We start from the raw sequence: 21,659 nt of genomic DNA on the forward strand, positions 1-21,659 counted from the left end.
GACAAATTCTTTTCTTACCACAAGTCAGGAACCTTGTAAAGGAATGATGTAGACAAGGCAACAGGTCAGTCTTTACAGGGGCTTTTTATCAGCTTTATTAAGTCAACCTCAACTGCTCAAAATAGTCTGGATGTACCTGAAAATATGCCATTCCAGTCAAAGCTTTGGTAGAACAATCAGTGTCTCCAGTTATGCCCTGTTACAAAAGAAAACAGATTCTTATTGAATTTATGAAAAAAAAGATATTGCCATAAATTAAGAATACTCATAAATAGTTTCCAGTTTCTGAAGAAATCAGCTAGAGATAAAGAAAATGCTTCAAATTTGTGTTTACAAAAATATACTTTAACCAATTTATTGTAAACTATAAATAGCCCAAAAGAGAAAGAAGTCTTTTTAGTTATAGTCCAATGGTACAATCTCTGAAGTTATCAGAAACCTGTATTCAAGAGTACTTGCCAGCCTTTTCCACGAATATCCTTAAAGAGGCAAATTTTGGACTATAGCAATTATAAACTGCTTTTTGAGAAGAATCAAAGTAAAACAATAATTTTCTGCGGATGACAAAAGACAGAATAGCCATGGTTAAAGACACAATTGATGAGGAAATTTTGTTATTTCTGTGGCGTATAACATTTGACATAACAATCACAATTAATGTTAACATGTACTGAGATGTCAGAATTTCAGGAATGTTATACAATTTTGGAACACAAATTAATAACACATTCATACAAATATTAAATAATCCAAAGAAAGTTAAACATGATTTCTTTTCCTTTCTATTTTTATTTTTAAATTTATTTTATTTTTTATTCTAAGTTCTAGGGTACATGTGTAGGATATTTTAATTTTTTAGATACAGGGTCTCACTCTGTCACCCAGACTAGAGTACAGTAGCAAGATCATAGCTCACTGCAGCCTTGAACTCTGGAGCTGAAGTAATCCTACTACCTCAGCCTCCCAAATAGGTAAGGCTACAGGCACATGCCAGCATACATGACTAAATTTTTTATTTTTCATTTTTGTAGAGACAGGCTCTCACTATGTGGCCCAGGTTGGTCTCAAACTCCTGGCCTCCAGTGATCCTCCCACCTTGGCTGTCCAAAGTGCTGTAATTACAGGTATGAGCCATCACACCTGGCCATACAATTTATTAATTGACAATGCTTCCTGTACGATCTTAGCATACCAAATAAGGCTAATATGTCTTTCTTGGACTTCCGGGGGTTCTAATATCCAAAAAGCTAGTTTGAGGCCAAAAAGACTGACTGAATATAGAATTTGACATTCTGATTTTGGAAAGTTTGTCAACTATAAGTGTTTTAAGCACTTGCTCAAAATTGAATCACAGGTCAGTGGAAAATAAGTCACTCATTTAGCCAACGAGGTAATTCAAAGATTTTTAAAAGTGAAAACCTTTACTCTTTGATAGACAGAACACTCAGTTTCCCAAACAATCATAAGACCTGATAAAGGCAAAATGAGGCAAACTGAGTCTGTCTCTTTCTCTCTTCCCTCTTTGTTTTTCCTTTATGTAGTTTACTTAAAAGGTAAAAAAAAAAAAAAAAAGAAAAAGAAAAGAAAAAAAGCTGTTACTATCTCATATCAACATTACATGAAAATCTTGTTCAAAAGATAAAATAAAAATTTACTTTTGTATTAGTATATTATTAATGTTAAAGTTAATTTTGATAAAACCTTATAAATAAGCTAATCTAATCTTTTTGACCATATAAAATAAGATTTTTATAAACCTTTAATAACCTCTTATAGTTTTTTCCATTTTTTATTTTCCCAACTTTTTATATCCATTCAGTTTTATTTATCATTTTCCCCTGTAATTTAAAGCAACTTTTAAAATCCTCTAAACTAGACAAAATTAATTTTCCTTTAACAAAAAAGAAACACCGTATTTTATGGGTTTTTTTACATAATTTTTTAAACCAAAAAGGCATCTTACTTTTCTTATATTCTTTGTAAATAGAATTGCTTCTCTTATATGTGGTAGGTTTTAATTACACGTATTAGTTTTAATGTTAGTTCTTAGTAATCCTTATTTTCAGTGAAAAATCCAGGAAATAAGCAATTTTAATTATATAACTGATACAGAGCCTAGGACAAAGGACAATGCCTGGAGGATTGAATCCTTCCCAGTGTGGCTAAAAGGCACAGATGGGCTAGGAAGGAGCAGTTCCTGCATCCTTGGGCCTCATCATGGCCTAGAGGTGCAAATCAGAGATAGAAGCTCACATATTAATAAAATCATAGAAGCAACTATTTTATGACCTTAAAATACCTATCAGTATAAACCTGTCTGATCAATAGACACAGGTAAAAATATCTAAATTAAATTCTGAAGATGTTTCTATTTTATTTTACCAATAATATTAAAACTACATTTATTTATCAAAGATTATTGAAGTCACATGAACTTGAAAAGCATTTATTTGGGCTAGCTATTTAGGAGTACTCATTTATCTTTAAGTTAATTTGGTACCATATGTAGACAGTATATAAACATCTGTATAGACATACACATACATGTAGACACAACGTATAACATATATATGTATGTATCTAAAAGCCAAATTGATCAAGGAGTTTAATGCAGAAGATAGTAAAGCTTTAGATTTAAGAGGAATTTGTCCACTTGACAACTATTGGGGTTTTACGAGGAAAAACAGACATTTTTCCCCAAAAGAGAAGTCTGTGGTGCCTTTGCTGCTTTCCTTAGAGATTTCAGGGTGTTAGAAATTGTCTTAGGTGTCCCCATGTGCCATGAAGGGTGGAGAGGCAGGAGGCACAGACAGAAGTAATTGGAGAAACACACCAAAGGAGCATGTATGGTTAGCAGGGGTTCAGGAAGAGGGAAATTCAGTGGACAGAGACTTTTTAGAGAGAGAGAACAGAGGCATTAAACCTATATCTATATGTGTACATATATGGCCTAAATATCAGTTTTAATATAGTTGACTTTTGACTATATAGCTCCTAAAAAAATCTTTTAAATCTCTTATTATTAGATTTTAGCGGGGACAAATGGCCAATATTTCTAGTTTTTGAACCTTTTTTTCTTAAGCCAAAGATTCCTTTTAAGTTGAACACTAACCATGGTTATAATATAAGCAAGGATGCAAGAGGTGTCTCCAAAGAGAGGAAAGCACTCCTCACAAGATCCAGAACCACCTCAAAGACAGCTTAAAAAACGAAAACGTTTGCTGGCCACAAACGAGGTCAAGTCCACATTTCTGTCTAGCCATATTCTTTCAGAGTCTCAGTTTCTCAGCTGATGGTCTACACCAAAGGCCCTCAAACCTTGCGTGCCCCCACAGAGAGGAAAAGACAGGGGCCGGGTTCAGTGGCTCACGCCTATAATCCCAGCATTTTGGGAGGCTGAGGCAGGTGGATCACTTGAAGTCAGAAGTTTGAGACCAGCGTGGCCAACATGGTGAAACCCCATCTGTACTAAAAATACAAAAATTAGCTGGGCGTAGTGGTGGGCGCCTATAATCCCAGCTACTTGGGAGGCTGAGACACAAGAATCGCTTGAACCTGAGAGGCGGAGCTTGCAGCGAGCCGAGATTGCACCACTGCACTCCAGCCTGGTTGACAGAGCGAGACTCCGTCTCAAAAAAAAAAAAGGAAAAACACAGGAAATCAAAATGATCAATAACAAACGGGTACCCCCAAAAGTCAAAAGTCACACAAATATCAAAACTGGAAAGACTGATCTCTGGTCAGGAACTGAACCCAGGCAACAGCTATGAAAGCCAGGAATTTTAACTACTAGGCCACAGGGAGTGGCCTCTATTATCATTCTCGCAGGGATCTAAAGCAGGCAGTTTGTACAAATATTTTGGCTTTGTTTTAGGTCCAATTTTTGCTTTTTATAGGGAGAATTTCTAAGGCTAGGCATGATATTTTTTAATGTCTTTCTTTTAATTTGGTCTTCCAATCAATTGTTTAGAATAAGAGATCTCTTTTTTTTTTTTTAATTTAGGAGTTTAATTTAAAGCATCCATCTTTTGGCCATTGACAATTAGAACTTCCCATGGTGTATTTATAGCACCTCAATAGCAACCCAATTCAACTTCAGAGAAGAAGCAATTCCAAAGACTCCCTCCAGAAAATTCACTCCTAGGAATAGGCTAAGATAGCAAAAGATTCTTGTTGCCACTGACAGTTAATGATAGTGTTTGCCTTCAGTAACCCACAAATTTATGGGGTGCCACCAGTCACAGACCTGTTAATCTGTGATACTAGGCAGGCCCTCTTGGGACTGGACTTTTCCAGCACTACACAGGCAACAAGGGTTGAGATAACAAAAGTTCCTTATGGACAGGACTTCTTTTTTTATTATTATTATTCTACCTTAAGTTTTAGGGTACGTGTGCACAACGTGCAGGTCTGTTACATATGTATACATGTGCCATGTTGGTGTGCTGCACCCATTAACTCGTCATTTAACATTAGGTATATCTCCTAATGCTATCCCTCCCCCTCCCCCCACCCCACAACAAGACTTCTTATTAAGACAAACTTTCCTGAGAGCTTGACATATTCTGAACAAAAGTTTCAGGTTGCTAGCCATTTTCAGACTGACCACCTGACATGACCTGAAAATCATGCCCAGCAGGTGGCAGAGACCGACAGAGTGCTCCTGCTTGGTCACAGGTCACACTCTCAGATAAATCAAACAAGATAAGAGGAAACTTTATCCAGTACCTCTTGTTACAAACAACATAGAAAGACAAAGGAAAAGACTATTTCTGGGAGGAAAGGGGTCAAATAACATGACTATTCATACCACAAAGAATCCAAAAGTACACCAGAGTTGCTACAGCAAAGCTAGTCACACACAAATCTTTTGGTCCTATTAATCAAAATTTTGCAGAGAAACAGTGATTTTTACCATCCACTCAACTGGATTGCACAGAGAAAGAGGCTGGAAGCCTGGATGGCTAGAAATTCTTACCCTTTTGCAGCTAATCAGGTTCCCGGATTCCCTTAACTGAGGCTTCCAGAAGGGTGGGACTTTGATCATCTTGTCTGTGACATCAAACTATAGAAACTATAGGAACTAAGGAGAATCTTCCCCTTGGCTCTCTGAAGTTTTGCTGAAAAATCTACTCATAAAAGGCAGATTAGTTGGAGAAAAGGCATGCAAATATATTTAAAGTGTATACGTGGGAGCCTTTAGAATGAAGACCCAATGATACAGGGAAAGTGACTTTTTTTTTTTTTTTTTAAAGACAGAGTCTCGCTCTGTTGCCCAGGCTGTGCTGGAGTGCAGTGGCACGATCTCGGCTCACTGCAACCTCCACTGCCTGGGTTCAAGCGACTCTCCTGCCTCAGCCTCCCAAGGAGCTGGGATTACAGGCATGCACCCACCATGCCTGGCTAATTTTTTGTATTTTTAGTAGAGACGGGGTTTCACCAGGTAAACCAAGCTGGTTTTGAACTCCTGACCTCAAGTGATCTGCCTGCCTCAGCCTCCCAAAGTGCTAGGATTACAGGTGTGAGCCACTGCACCCAGCCGGAAATTGACATTTTTTATGCTTAGGTTTAACAAAGCATGGACAGCCCTGTAGAACTGTGATTGGACAAAAAACGTACAATCTAATGCTAATAGACTGAGTGAGGAAACCCAGCAAGGGCCTGTCTGTCTAGATTCTTCTTGGCCTCCCTGGACACGCATTTCTTCCTTCAAAGTATGGGGCAGGACCCTCTCTGGAATGGGGGTATTAGGACCTACAGTCAAATAAGGTAAGTCAGACTATTTCTTAACAGCCATTTTTTACACAGAAAGGTGGAGGGGAAGTTAGAGTAGTGTTTTAAGGTTTTATGGCTGGCTTTGGGGGAAGGAGATTCTGGTTTCTATGACCCGCTGTGGGGAAGAGGGATTCTAGTTTCTATATAGCCTTAAAGGAAAATGGGACTGAGATACAGGAGGGCAGGAGAAGATCAGAGAATAACTTTTGCTTCTGAGACTTTCATTGCAGGGTATTGTTTTCTGAGCCCCAACACTAGCAAGTTGTAATGCTACAGATACAGATACAATGGTCTTCTCTCTTAAGATGCCACGTTTTTTATTTCTTTTTAACTACATCACAAAGATGATCAAATGCTACTGACCCCAATCCTACATCTTAAGAGGATTGGATGAAGAGAGCATCTGACAGGCTGGGGAGATATCTTCAGTTTTAAAGCATTCTGTTGATTCTCTCTCAATGTACACAATGTGCATAAGACCAAGGAAGGGAATATGTTAGAGTTCATTCTTGAATCTGTAGGCCCTTGTCAACTGGCTTGAGATGCTTGGCTTTTGGTGTGTTCCTTGGTTGGACTCGCACTCACATGTGTAGACCACAAAGTACCAATGCCCATAATGCACATTGCCGTCAGCAGAATAATCTTTCTACAGCACATCTCAATACATGTGTTTCAATGGTTCTCCTGCTGTCTACCCAACATAATACAACCCCCTCACCTAGAAGTCATGAACTCTCCTTTAGAACTTATTTCCCACTACCCCATTTTGCATGAAATTTTAGGCCTTATGTGTTCTGCCCTCCCTAACAATCATCTGTTTGCCCTCTTCTTGCATTTTGTGGTCCTTGCAACTACATTATTTTTCTTGAAGCCTCAAATACTACTTCGGGTGGAAGGCTGCCATTTGCCCAGACACAGAAGAAATTTCTCCCTCTTCTGAACATACATGGCTTTCCATCTGTGTTGATCTTGCTGCATATCTTTTCAATCTGCTACTAATACATATATCTCATCTTCCTAAATCATAAGACTTTTGGGATAGACTTTAATCTGACAGGTTTTGCATTGCTAACAGCAAGCACCACAGCCATGCTTGTGGTGAGCTGAATAATGGCCCCCAAATATGTCCATGTCCTAATCCCCTGTGAATATTGCCTTATATTACATGACAACAGGGTTTTTGCAAGTGTGACTAAACTGAGGGTCTTGAGATGAGATTATCCTAGATTATCTGAATGGATCTGATGTAATCACACAATCCTTGTAAGAGGGAGCCAGGAGGAATTGGGGTGAGAGGAGAAGGCAATGTGACAATGGAAGCAGAGAATGAAATCACATGCTTTGAAGATGGAGGAAGTGGCCACAAGCCAAGGAATGGAGAGGGCTGCTGGAAACAGAAAAAGACAAGGAAATAGATTCTCCCTATTTCCTCCAGAAGGAACCTGCCCTGTGAACACTTTCACCTTAGCCCAGTTAAACTGAATTTGAACTTCTGACCTCCAGAGTGTAAGAAAATTAGTTCTGTGTTGTCTTGAACTACTGAGTTTGTGGTAATTTGTTACAGCAACAATAGGCAACTAATATAGTGGGAAAATGTTTGTTGACTTAAAAAAAGAAATAAATGACTATGAATAAGTCAATACATGAATGAATACATTCAAAAGGTTTTGCTTTATAATGTTTCCTTGCTTCCAATGTCTAACCACTATGGGAAGTCTTGCCATAGAGAAAGGCATTTTTTAAAATGTCCCTGAATGTTTTTTTGGAGGTCCAATCAAAGTGCCAGTGGTTCAGCTGGGGCTCCGGATCAGTAGGGCATCAACCTCCTTACTCCTATGGACTCCCCCATTGTTCTAGAGAGCACAAGACCTAAGGGAATAGGAGGGGAGACAGGACTCCGTGGGGATGGAGGATCTGAGAGCCTAGGGCACAGGTTGTGTCTAAGGCAGGAGGGGGAAGTTCTTGACTAGATCAAGAGCTGCCCAGTGCCATACCCTGACTTGAACCAAGTAGCTGGGAAGTGAGGCACGCCCAGCTAATTTTTGTATTTTTAGTAGAGACAGGGTTTTGCCATGTTGACCAGGCTGGTCTCGAACTCCTGGCCTCAAGTGATCTGCCCGCCTCCACTTCCCAATGTGCTCGGATTACAGGCATGAGCCACCATGCCCAGACCTCCTATTTCTTTCTAAGGACAACTTCTTATCATTGTCAGGGACAAAAGTTTGGAATAAAATTATTTTTTGTTCAGTGTATTTCTTACTTTTCAGTGACTGACTGATAAGCCCTCTTTTAACTTTAATTAGAAACCGAACTGAAGAAAATACTTGGCTTGACATACCATAGTGATTTAAAAGGGCTTTTCAACTCCAGTACCAAAAAACATGAAACAGTAATTCAAAGGGCTGTTAACATGGAGCTCCCAGCACCCCTTGTGCATAGGGAAGGGCTAAATTAACCAAAATGATAACCGTGCCACAAATTAATTACTATTTAAGGTTACTCCTACTAAACTTGACCATAAATCTCTTCATATTCCCTAAACTACAATCTTAACTATCGTCTTTTTGCAAAAAAATAAGCCATCTCTTTTATAAAAGCTCACACACACACACACACACACACACGTATGTGCACACACACACAATAAGCGCATCTTTTCATGGACTATTAACGTAGAGCTGATCATTTCCCTCATTTTCTCAAATAGCATATATCATTCACACAGAGCGAGAGCATAATTTGAACAAAATCGAATGAGATTTTCCTGAGCTTCACATGAATTGAAGTGGGAGATAATAATCCTTTCTATTTTTTTCCTATCCAACAAGATCAGCTCTTAGAAGTCTCCTCAGTGTTTCAGATTTAAATACATGATATTTAATGCAGTTTCTAAATTTTAACTACTTCTAATTCTTCTAACTGTGCAGAAAAGCACACTGAGATTTTGAGATCGTGCAATCATTCTGAAGTCAGGCCCACAAGCATGAGCAACAGCAGAATGTTGACTGGCCTGCTTAGCAGAATCCCAGCTCCAGGTCTCCAGTTTGGAAATGCATCTTTCAGTCAAACTAAAAAACTTACAAAATTAAAATTTCAAGCAAACAAAATGACTTTAATAAAACATCTTATTAAAGTTGTTTTTATACAAATGTATTTAAAGTTATATAAGTTTATTTAAAGTTGTATAAACATTATTAAAGAGAGGTAGACTGTATAAAGAAAACGTGGTACATATATACCGTGGAATACTATGCAGCCATAAAAAAGAACAACATCATGTCTTTTGCAGAAACATGGATGGAGCTGGATAATGATATCCTTAGCAAACTAAAGCAGGAACAGAAAACCAGATACTAAATGCTCTCACTTATAAGTAGGAGCTAAATAATGAGAACACATGGACACAAAGAGGAAAACAACAGGCACTGAGGCCTATCAGAGGATGAAGAGTGGGAGGAGGGAGAGGAGCAGAAAAAGTAACTATTGGGTACTAAGCTTAGTACCTGCATGATGAAATAATCTGTACAACAGACACCCATGACATGAGTTTACCAATATAAAAAGCTGGCACCCGTGAAACTAAAACAAAGAAAAAGAGAGAAGGAAAAAGAATTATTGGCTACTAGTTCCAAGTAAATCATTCTTTACGCTTAAGTATAATTTTCCACTGGACTGGAATAGTGTTTTACTGACTACTATAATTTATTTTTACCAGCACTCAGAGAAATCAAATGCTTTTAGGAAGAATAAACAAGAACATGTTAAATTAAGCTGCATAAATAATTTTCACACTTTCTACTTGAGTGTCTGTGTGTGTTTTTGTCTTCCATATTATCTGTGACAGTGCAACCATTTTATATCCTATGCCTATTCAGATACTGCTCTATGCTTTAAAATTGTAGCTACTGTTTTCTTAACTCAGTAATGTTTGATTCTATGCCTCTTGGATTTCATTACCTCACAGATTTTGCTCAGTTCCTTGACTCTTGTCATTGCCCATAAGTCCGTAACTATTGGCGTATTCGTTGGGGAAGTTATGTATGTTTTATCTATAGTAATGAAATTATGGGAGGTCTGTTTACAGCCTGGTATTTCTTTAGACTGAAGATTTGTCTAGCAATAAAGTTACACATACACCTTAAGCAAATGGAAATGATCCTCTCTTGATAAGATCACAGGTTCAATGTAGTCATGAGAGCAGAAGAATGCCAATATTCTTAGAACAATCTATTTTACTAGAAGTTTTTAAATTATGTATTTTAAGTAAAAATAATATGATACTAGGCAGAAGGTTTCAGCTCTGACTAAGCCCAGAGGAAAAATTCCATTATCTCTTATCCTCTCTTGAATCCTTCTACAGGGGACCTCTGACCCAAGAGTTCGGTCAATGCATATGTTGGCAGCCAGCTGCACATCGCACCAAATATGAACTTCAAATAGAAGAAAGCCTCATTTGGAAGAAAGCTCATGCACAGACTGTAAATATTTCAGAGCAGATTGTGTCTCTGTAGATTAAGTAAGTTGTGAAAGTCTGAACCTCTGCCAAAATTTTAAGACCTTGACCTTTACATCTCTGAGTTTCTATCTGTCATTTTTCCTTTCTATCTGTCATTTTACCTTTCATACTTATAAAATGGAATTCATAATCTTCTCAGCCTACCAAGTGTTAGTGTTCTAGGGATTCAGATAAAATATGTATGAAATTACTTTGAATTACCTAAAACATGACATTTATTCATTCAACAAGTATTTGTTGAACATATACGTCCTTCCTGGTGCTGTGTCAGGTGCTGGTGAATATAGCTGTGGTCATGGCAGACTTTACCTCTGCTTTCATAACTGTAACATGAAAGTGTTGCTACCACAGTCATGTTATTAGAACGACTACTTTAACATCGACTACTAATATAAAATTTGTAGATGTTTAAATGAAATCATTATTTGTGTAACCATTAATATCCTGTGTAATGTTATAATATTTGGGGCACCTTTGTAATTGTTAAATGATTTATTTCATTCCCAGGTGAGTTTGTAGAAAATAATACAATCACTCTCAATTCCATTAGTGTTTTTACTTTCAGTTTGATTCACATTGCTCATCCCAGTCTGACGTAAGTCATCACCTACAAGAACCAGACAAGGAAAAACAGAACAAACTTGAAAGAAATCAGCTATCATATCTCTATAAATGTATTCTGCCTCTATTTTTCATTTTCTTTTAGTAAAGTACTTTATAAGAAAAACAATGAAGGGCAGGGAATTAGAATCTACTCAAGCATCTGCTGTATTCTAGACATTTTATGTCCATCGTCTCCTTCACACACCTTGGCACTCCACAATGCAGAGGTTACTATCCCCAATTTGTAGATGGAGGATGAGAGGCATTGAGAGATGAAGTGACTTTTCAGACTCAGTCAGTTGCTCTCTAAAGCCAATGCTCTTTCCACTGTACCTAACAATTTTGTTGTATCAATCTGTTTAACTACAACATGATATTATTTAATGTGACTCAGTTCATATGCTATTGGTCAGTAGGGAATTGATGTGAATTTTGTTGGTCTTGTCAGCAAACAGTTTATTTTTCCAGTATGACAATGTTGTGACAAGATCAGAAGCCAGCTTTCTCACCATTAAATCAAAGTCTTATCAATATATGGAGACTTTTATGGAAAGAAACCTGAAATTACGCAGAAATGCCTTCCGCAAGAAGTGGCTAGTATGGTGGCTTCAAGAACAGTGACATTTTTCAGTATGTCCGTTGTTCTAAGACGTTAGTACATCACAATTACCTAGAAAACTTGTTAAAACACAGAAGTCTGGGCTCCCCCTCTTGGCCAACCCCCATTCCCAGAGGGTTTCTGTTTCCATGGGTCTGAAATACCACCTAACGATTGGCATTTCTAACAAATTTCTGCATGAAGCTGCTGGTCTGAGGACCACACTTTGACAACCAGTGCACTACATTAAGCTATCTGGAGAAGCTGCAAATGCAGATGAAGAAGCTACAAATTTTTCTATGTCAACAAAAATTGACTGATGAGGGTGACCTTCGGATCATGTTTTTAATGTTTATGAAACTGGTCTCATTATCAGAAGTAAATGGCTTCAAGAACTTCAGCCTGAGGAAGAAAACATGAGTCCTAGGCATATCAGGCTACAACCATGTTTGGAATGAATCTAGGTGCAAATCTCAGTGGAGAATTAACTGTACCAATATTTTAATTAGGATTACTAATGTTTTGTTACTTCCTGATTACAAGGTTCTATAGGTTTTGAATGATCCACTGTAATCCTGTTTCTTTTCCATAAGTCGTGTAGTTTTTAGCATGTAATTATGCAGACCATAAGGTTTTTCAGGAATACTAATATGGCATTAGATTAGAAATGCTATATTAAAAATTCTTATTAAATCTACTGATAGTAACCAAAAAATAGAAGATTCAGAAGAACTAGCAAATGTGGAGAGAACGGATGAAATGGAAGCAGTGTGAACCTAGTGAATACTTGCCAAGCTGTATCTCCCCTGAATTTGTCAAAACATCATCTCCAGCATCTGAGCTAGACCAACCCTCAGTGCTAACATTGATGTGATTAAAGAGTCTGAACTGGGAGCAGAATTCCTTCAGGTATTTTGTTAATAAAATAAAGCTCTCCATCTCTCCTTAAATTAAACAAGCCTGCTCTCCTGGATCATGTTTTGAACATAGTTCATTTTACGAAAGGCTTCCCTTTGGGGCCCTTTATTTTAATTCTGGTTGTGCAAATCAGCCCATGTTCTGTTCATGAGGGACACCTGTTTATTCCCCGTGAAAACAAATTCGTTGGATGCACCCTGGGAGGCTACAAGGAGGGAAGTGAGAACGTGCAGAGCAGGTAGAAAGAGAAGTGAGAGGCTGGGCGCGGTGGCTCACGCCTGTAATCCCAGCACTTTGGGAGGCTGAGGCGGGCTGGATCACGAGGTCAGGAGATCGAGACCATCCTGGCTAACACGGTGAAACCCCGTCTCGACTAAAAAATACAAAAAATTAGCTGGGCGTGGTGGAGGGCGCCTGTAGTCCCAGCTACTCGGGAGGCTGAGGCAGGAGAATGGCGTGAACCCGGGAGGCGGAGCTCGCAGTGAGCTGAGATCGCGCCACTGCACTCCAGCCTGGGCGACAGAGCGAGACTCCGTCTCGGGGAGAAAAAAAAAAGAGAAGTAAGAGCTTGCAGGAGAGGGTACCTGAAGCACCTGAGATTTGGGAGTCTTGTCCCCTGCGTCCTGCCAAAAGTCTTGCCATGCTCCTCCTTCGCCAAATAAATGAAGAGCCAAAATGCCACCCACTAAAATTAACATGAAAGGGGATAAAAGATGTGATGTTTGCTCCTAACCTGTGTAGATTGAAACAAGGTTCCCTGTGTTCTCTAGCCTCATGCCATGGGTTGGTGGGGGGTGGGATGGGAGGGCGAAGTTTACAGGAAATCATCCCCGGTGTTTCAATAGTGCTTCAGTAGCTGGTATTGTCACCTTAATTTAGCTAGATAGAGAGTTTATCCCTGGACCACGATGTAAGAGAATACGAATGTTTTAATCCTATATAAGCTTCTAGTGACTGGTTTGGCTGAATTAGACAATATGGAAATTGAGTGAAAACTTGCTGAAAATGTGTTTCTCAAATGAGCCTGAGTAGGTAAATTAAAGGCAGAAATCTCCTGGTGAGCCAGTGTCTGCAAAGCCTTCAGGGGAAAACAACTTACTAGTTAAATAACGAAATCAGGATCTTAAATGATGTAGCAAGGCGTTCCCCCCACCCCTTTTAAACAATGGCCTTAATTAAAAAGACCACAGTTCTGTGCTGATGGGGAGGTTACTGTACGTTTGGAGAAAAGGACTAGATGGTGTTCTGAGTTAATTAAAATGTTCACTTTGGGTAAATATTCCAGTTCCTGTGGCGATGACAGCCAACAGTTCATAAGCTGAATGTAACTGTTTGACAAGTATCTGAATGAACAGCTTACCTTGAGAAACCCAATGTTGTGTGATAAGTTACAAATGCAGTAAGTTCTCCATCTGCTACAGTCTTAATCAAATCTCCCTGAGTAAAGGCATTTTTCAAGCAAGTAGAATGCAAGAGAGTGTCCCTGCATACTAAACCTGTGTGGCATGTAATTTAGAATCTTTGTTTCGGGAAATAGTTTATATCTTGATATGCACTGAAGTTATTAGATAGATATGCAGTTACCAGGGTATATGTAGAAGTAGCTATTAAACATCAGTGTGCACTAGAATCATTTGGAGGGTTTATGAAACCCTAGATTGCTAGGCCCCACCCCCAAGAGTTTCTGATTCAGCAGACCAAGGTTGAGGTTTGCATTTCTAACATTTGTATTTCTGTTAGAACATTCCAGGTGATGTTGGAGCTGCTGATTCAGAGACCACACTTTGAGAACCATAGAAAAGATATTGGTGATAGAGTAGTAAGAGCTTCCACTAGGAATTGTGGCACCCGGAATCTCTTCTAATTAATCATCAATATGACCAAGGTCAAGCCACTTGGTCTTATTGAGGTTGACTTGATGGCTTCCTACAACTCCACGTTAGAATTATTGGGTGAAATTACTGATGAGGAGAGAATTCTGCTAAGATTGTTAATTGACCATAGTTTATCAATTATCCTTGAAACTGTTACCTGATAGTGAATATTTTCCAACTTGAAGAAAATGCTTGAAGAAAAAAAGACACCTAAGCTGCCATTATCAATCAGTTATTACATAATCAAAGAACATTCAACTTCCGAATCAATAGACTGTGCTTTGGAAATGTTCTTTGATTGTCCAATTAGGGCCAACTCCTGGGCCATGCTCCATCACTCAAACCCTCCCAGATTCTCAGATGCCTACATAGTTTTTCTGTGATCTTTTCATCTGATTTAGCCTGAGCTGCTTTGATTCAAGACTATTTGGCCTAGGGATTTTAAGGAACTGGGAAAGCTCATTGATTATTTTCTTTTAGATTAAGCTACATATGTTAAAAGTCACTAAGCAATCAGGTCTGAAAAATCTCATTTGCCACAGTGAAGGAAAACAGCAACATTTGGATCTTGTGTTTCAGGCCAGGAATAGAAAAGCAGCATGCAACTGGGCCAACTCTAGAGACCACTATTTGCTGTGTTGTTATATTAATCACTTAAATATGCTTCCAAATGTAAGTCAGGTCCTCTTCCTGGCCATGTTTGAGTAATGTAATCATAGGTTAGTGACTGACATAAGATACTTGAATGTTGTTTTATTCAGCATTGTTAAGCATTGGTTCATGGTGCAGCAACATAAAAACAGAATAATTTTAAAGTCATTCTCAAACTTCTTATCTGTAAGCATCATTTAATATTACTAATCATAACATGTATCTCATGGAATATCCTACCCTTGCCTCAGACTCTAAGTCCCACAACTAATGACTTGTCTTACCTGGAGAATAAAGACACAGGTTTCCATATATGGAGCCATCTGGGCATCCTTCTAGAAGACCAATTTGGAGCATCATTTATCTTTTTAATTTTCAATTGATCATGGACAAAGAGGAGAATGGCCACCAGCTTCCTTACAATTGCTAATATTAGAAAATTATTTGAAAATGCATACTGGGCTGTTTCTGTACTAACTATTCCCCATTTCGTCTTTGGATATTATTTTCTAGAACAGATAAACACTTATTTATGTTTAAAATTTGTTACAAAGCCAAAATTTTTTAGAAAAAAAGCCATTAAATTTGCAGATAAGAAAAATATTTTTCTATATTTATAAATTAAAATTCCAATCCTATGTAAAAGTTCTCTGTTATTTCTGCAAAATTATTTTATCTCACGTTTGAAAAACAATAAATATTATATAATGTGCTACATTTAGAAGATGATGACATGAGCAAAGTGTAACAAACTAGAACACATTTATGAAGACTATCAAACCAGAAGCCAAATACACCTTTCCCTGGAATTATCTTTCTGCTCAGAAAGGAAACCATTAGGCTAATATTAAGAATATAGATTTTCAATAAAATAGAACCAAATATCTTTCAATTTTAAATAACAAATTCTGTGTAAGATGATGATTGCTTATAACAATAACATGAAGAAATTCTCACCTAATGGTCTTGATATATTTTATAATTTTAATGATTTCCTTGAACATTAAGAAAAATTTATTTCTGAGGGCTGTAATGACATTGCATAACTAGCCTTTTAAATGTCATGTAACTCAAGAAAAAAGAAACGATATTAGCTTCCATTTGGACAGTACCTGACAGATTCTCATAAACAGCCTTATTGAGATATAATTTACTCAAAGTGTGCAATTCAACTGTTTTTGGTATATTTGCAGATATATGAAACCACCATCACAGTTAATTTTAGAACATTTTTATTGCCTCAGAAAGAAACTCCATACATTTTAGCTATCACCCCTCTACCTCCATCCCAACTTCCTCAGCTCTAATCAACAACTAATCTATGTCTATAGATTTTCCTATTTCGAACTTTCGTATGAACAGAATTATATCACATGTGATCTTTTGTGACTATTTCACTTAATATGTTTTCAAAGTTCATCCACATGTTAGAATGTATCAGTATGATTCTCTTTTATAGCCAAATAATATTCCATTGTTTGGGTATATCACATTTCTTTTACCCATTTGTCTGTGGATTAACATTTGGGATCAGGTACACTAATGTTTACAGCATCATTATCTATAATATCTAAGTGTTTATGTGGAAATGTTTTCATTTCTCTTGGGTGTATCCCCAAGGATGGAAATGCTGGATCATATGGTAATTCTCTGTTTAATTGTTTGAGGAATTCCAGACTGTTTTCCAAAATGGCTACACCATTTTACATTCCTACCGGCAGTGAATGCATGTTTTGATTTCTTCACATTCTCACCAAACTTATTTATGTCTTTTTTATTCTAGCTATCCTGATGTGTGTGAAATGGTATCTCGTTGTGGTTTTAATTTGCACTTCTGTCCTGGCTAATAATGTCAAGTATCTTTTCATATGCTTATTGGTCATTTGTATTATCTTTCTTGGAGAAATGCATGTTCTGATCTTCTGCCCATTTTTAAATTGGGTTATTTGTCTTTTTATTGAGTTGTAAGAGTTCTTTATATATTCTAGATACAAGTCCCTTATTAGATATATGGCAAATATTTTATTCCATTCTGTAAATATTTCACTTTCTTGATGGTGTCTGCTGAAGCACAAGAGTTTTTAATTTTAATAAAATTCCATTTATTTTTTCTTTCATTGCACATGCTTTTGGTGTCATAGCTAAGAATCCTTTGCCAAATCTGAGGTCATAAAGATTTATGCCTATAATTTTTCTATACGTTTTTTAGTTTTAGCTCTTATCTTTAGGGCTCTGATCCATTTTGAGTTGATTTTTGCATATAGTATGAGGTAAAGTGCTAATCCTATTCTTTTGCATATGGCTCTCCATTTTTCCAGCAGCATTTATTGAGAAGTCTATTCTTTACTCATTGAATGTTCTTGGTACCCTTGTCAAAAAATCAGCTGGAGCTGAGCGCAGTGGATCATGCATGTAATTCCAGAACTTTGGGATGCTGAGGTGGACGAATCACTTGAGCTCAGGAGTTTGAGACCAGCCTGGGCAACATGGTGAAACCCTATCTCTACAAAAAATACACTCAGGCAGGGGTGGTACATGCCTGTAGTCCCAGCTATGTGGAGGGTTGAGTCAGGAGGGTCACTTAAGCCGGGAAGTTGAGGCTGCAGTGAGCTGTGTTTGCGCCACTCCACTCCACCCTGTCTCACTGGTCATACAGGTATGGGTTTATTTCTTGGTATTCCCTCAATTTTATTTCACTGACTTATATGTCTGTCCTTGTGCCAGAACCACTGTCTTGATTACTGTTGCTTATGGTGAGTTTTCAAATTGGGAAGTTAAAGTCCTCCTCCTTTGCCCTTTTTCAGAATTGTTTTAGATATTATGGGTCTGTTGCAATTCCATATGAATGTTACAATCATCTTGTCAGTTTCTACAGGTAAGTCAGCTGAAATTCTAATAGAAATTTTGTTGAATCTGTAGATCAGTTTAGGGAGTATTGCCATCTTAACAATGTTAAGTCTTCTGATCCATGAGTGTGGAATATTTTTCCATCTATTTAGACCTTTAACTTCTTTAAATTACATTTTGTAGTTTTCACACCATAGGTTTTACACTTCTTTTGTTAAATTTATTACTATGTATTCTTTTTGATGCTATTGTGAAAAAAATTACTTTTTAATTTAATTTTCAGATTGCTCATTGTAAGTCTACAGAACTACAGTTGATTTTTTTGTATATTGTTCTTACATCTATAACCTTGCTGAACTCATTTATTGGCTCTAATCACTTTTTAGCAGATTTCTTACAATTTTTTATATATAAGATTATGTTATCTGAGAATAGAGATAATTTTACTTCTTCCTTTCCAATTGGATTGATCTTTTATTTCTTTTTCTTGCCTAATTTGCCTGGCTAAAACCTCTAATAAAATGTAAAATAGAAGTAGTGAGAAAGAACATTTTTTTCTTATTACTGATTTCAGGAGGAAAAGCATCCATTCTTTCACTGTTCAGTATGACACTAGCTGTGAATTTTTTGTAGACGGACTTTATCAAGTTGATAATATTTTCTTCTTTTTTTAGTGTTCCTATTATTAAAGGATGTTGGATTTTGTGAAATGCATTTTCTGTGTTTTTTTGAGATGATAAAGTGAGTTTTAAAAAAATTGTAGTGTGATACTGTATTAGATTAATTGATTTTTGAATTTTGAACCAACCTTACATTCCTGGGATAAATCCCATTTGGTCACGGTCATGGTTCTTTTTATAATCATGTGGTCAGTTTGTTTGTGTTTTGTTGAGTATTTTTACATCCATATTTATAAGATATATTGGTCTATTTTTTGTGTGATGTATTTATCTTGTTTGTATATCAGGATAATACTGGCCTCATAAAATGAGTTATGAAGTGATGTGATTTGACTCTGTGTCCCCATCCAAATCTCATGTTGAATTCTAATTCAATGTTGGGGGAGGGACCTAGTGGGAGGTGATTGGATCATGGGGGCAGATTTCCCTCATGCTGTTCTTGTGACAATCAGTGAGTTCCCATGAGATCTGATGTTTTAAAAGTATGTGGCACTTCCCCCTTTGCTCTTTCTCTCTCTCTCTCTCTCCTGCTGCCATGTGAAGAAGGTACTTGCTTCCCCTTCACCTTCTGCCATAATTATAAGTTTCCTGAGGTCTCCTAGTCATGCTCCTGTTAGACCTGAGGAACTATGAGTCAATTAAACCTCTTTTCTTCACAAATTACCCACTCTTGGGTAGTTCTTTATAGCAGTGTGAGAATGCACTAATACAGAAAACTGATACTAGAAGTAGGGTATTTCTATAAAGATACCCATAAATGTGGAAGCAACTTTGGAACTTTGTAATGGGCAGAGGATGGATCAGTTTGGAGGACTCAGAGGAAGATAGGAAGATGTGGGAAAGTTTGGAAACTTCATAGAGACTTGTTGGATGGTTGTAATGAAAATACTGATAGTGATATGGACAATGAAGTCCAGGACGAGGTGGTCTCAGATGGAAGGGAGGAACTTATTGGGAACTAGAGCAAAGATCACTCTTATTATACTTTAGCAAAAAAACAAGGCATTGTGCCCCTGCTCTAGGGATCTGTAGATCTTTGAACTTAAGAGAGATGATTTAGTGTATCTGGCAGAAGAAATTTCTAAGCAGCAAAGCATTCGAGATGTGGCCCAGCTGCTCCTAAAAGCCTACACTCATTTGCATAAGCAAAGAGAACTTATATTTAAAAGGGAAGCAGAGTGTAAAAGTTTGGAGAATTTGCAGCCTGACCATGTGGTAGAAAATAAAAACTCATTTTTCAAGCTGGCTGCAGAAATTTGCATAAGTAAGGCAGAGCTGAATGTTAATAGCCAAGACAATGGGGAAAACATCCCCAGGGCATTTCAGAGGTCTTCACAGCAATCCCTCCCATCATAGGTCCAGAGGCCTAGGAGGGAAAAATGGTTTCATGGGTCAGGCTCAGGGCGCAGCTGCACTGTGCAGCCTCAGGACATGGCACCTTGTGTCCCAGTTGCTCCAGCTCCAGCCATGGCTAAAAGCTGCCAAGGTACAGTTCAGGCCATAGATTCAGAGAGTGAAAGCCCTGCCAAGCCGTGGCAGCTTCCACATGGTGTTGGGCCTATACAGAAGGTAAGAATTGAGATTTGGGGGTCTCTGCCTAGATTTCAGATTCCAGAAAATGTATGGAAATGCTTGAATGTCCAGGCAGAAGTCTGCTGCAAAAGTGGAGCCCTCGTGGAGGACATCTACTAGGGTAATGCAGAGGGGAAATGTGGGGTTGGAGCCCCCACACAGAATCTCCACTGAGACATTGCCTGGTGGAGCTATGAGAAGACAGCCACCATACTCCAGATCCTAGAATGGTAGATCCACCAACAGCTTGCACTGAGCTGCAGACACTCAGTGCTAGCCCATGAAAGTAGCCAAGGGGGCTGTACACTGCAGGGGCAGAACTGCCCAAGGCTTCAGGAACCCACTCCTTGCATCAGCATGCCCTGAATGTCAGACATGGAGTCAAAGGAAATTATTTTGGAGCTTTAAGATTTAATGACTATCTTGCAGGGTTTCAGACTTGCATGGGGCCTGTAGTCCCTTTGTTTTGGCCAATTTCTCCCATTTGGAACAGGAGCATTTACCCAATACCTGTACCCTCATTGTATCTTGGAAGTAACTGACATGATTTTTATTCTACGGGCTCATAGGCAGAAGGAACTTGCCTTGTCTCAGATCATACTTTGGACTTGGACTTTTGATTTAATGCTGAAATGAATTAAGACTTTGGGGGACGATTGAGAAGGCATGATTATGTTTTCAAACATGAGAACATGAAATTTGGGGGTGGCCAGGGGTGTAATGGTATGGTTTGGCTCTGTATTCCCACCCAAATCTCATGTTGAATTGTAATTCCCAATGTTGTGGGAGGGATCTGGTGGGAGGTAATTGGATCATGGGGATGGATTTCCCCCATGCTGTTCTCATGATAGTGAGTGAGTTCTTACAAGATCTGACAGTTTAAAAATGTATGGAAGTTTTCTCCTTGCCCTCTCTCCCTCTCTTTCTCCTGCCTCCATGTGAAGCAGATGCATGCTTCTCCTGCTTCTGAGGCCTCCCGGTCATGTTTCCTGTTAAGCCTGTGGAACTGTGAGTTAACTAAACCTCTTTTCTTCATAAATTACCCAGTCTCGGGTAGTTCTTCATAGCAGTGTGAGAACAAATTAATACAGGAAGTATTTAATCCTTTTCTGCTTTTTTGGAAGAGTTTATGAAAAGTCAGTATTAAGGGTTCCTAAAATGTTTTGCAGACTTCACCCATGAAGGCTTCTGGACCTGGGCTTTCCTTTGTGGGTAGTTTTTGGGTCACTAATTCAGTCTCTTCATTTGTTAAAAGTCTATTCAGATTGTCTATTTCTGCTGAAATCAGTCACAGTAATTTGTGTCTTTCTAGGAATGTATCTATTTCATTTAAGTAATCTAATTTGTTGTCATACAACTAATATGATCTGGATATTTATCCTCTCCAAATCTCATGTTAAAATGTGACCCCCATGTTGGAGATGGGGCCTACTGAGATGTGTTTGTGTCATGGAAGTGGGTCCCTCGTGGATGTCTTGGTGCTCTTCTGTAATAATCTTTATTAGAACTCATTTCTATTCATGTGAGAGCTGGGTGTTCAAAAGATCATAGCACTTTCTCTCTCTTTCCTCCTGTCTTGCCATGTCACATGCTGCTGAGTATCCGTCCACTTTCATCATAACTGG

At 38.1% G+C, this 21,659-nt stretch overlaps 1 long non-coding RNA gene across 11 annotated transcripts in view; it reads left to right on the forward strand.

The window, feature by feature from the left end:
• Positions 1-21,659, forward strand: part of MIR3976HG (MIR3976 host gene) — a 165,609-nt gene that overhangs the window by 34,653 nt on the left and 109,297 nt on the right. For 10 of the 11 annotated variants that reach the window (NR_172496.1, NR_172498.1, NR_172503.1 and 7 more), the window contains one exon: positions 10,136-10,291. This is a non-coding gene — a long non-coding RNA (MIR3976 host gene). Of the gene's footprint in view, positions 1-10,135; positions 10,292-11,342; positions 12,451-21,659 lie in introns of those variants that run through there. The other variant, NR_038839.1, reaches the window with a different exon arrangement.

This window comes from Homo sapiens, chromosome 18 (assembly GCF_000001405.40).
Source record: "Homo sapiens chromosome 18, GRCh38.p14 Primary Assembly".
NCBI lineage: Eukaryota > Metazoa > Chordata > Mammalia > Primates > Hominidae > Homo > Homo sapiens.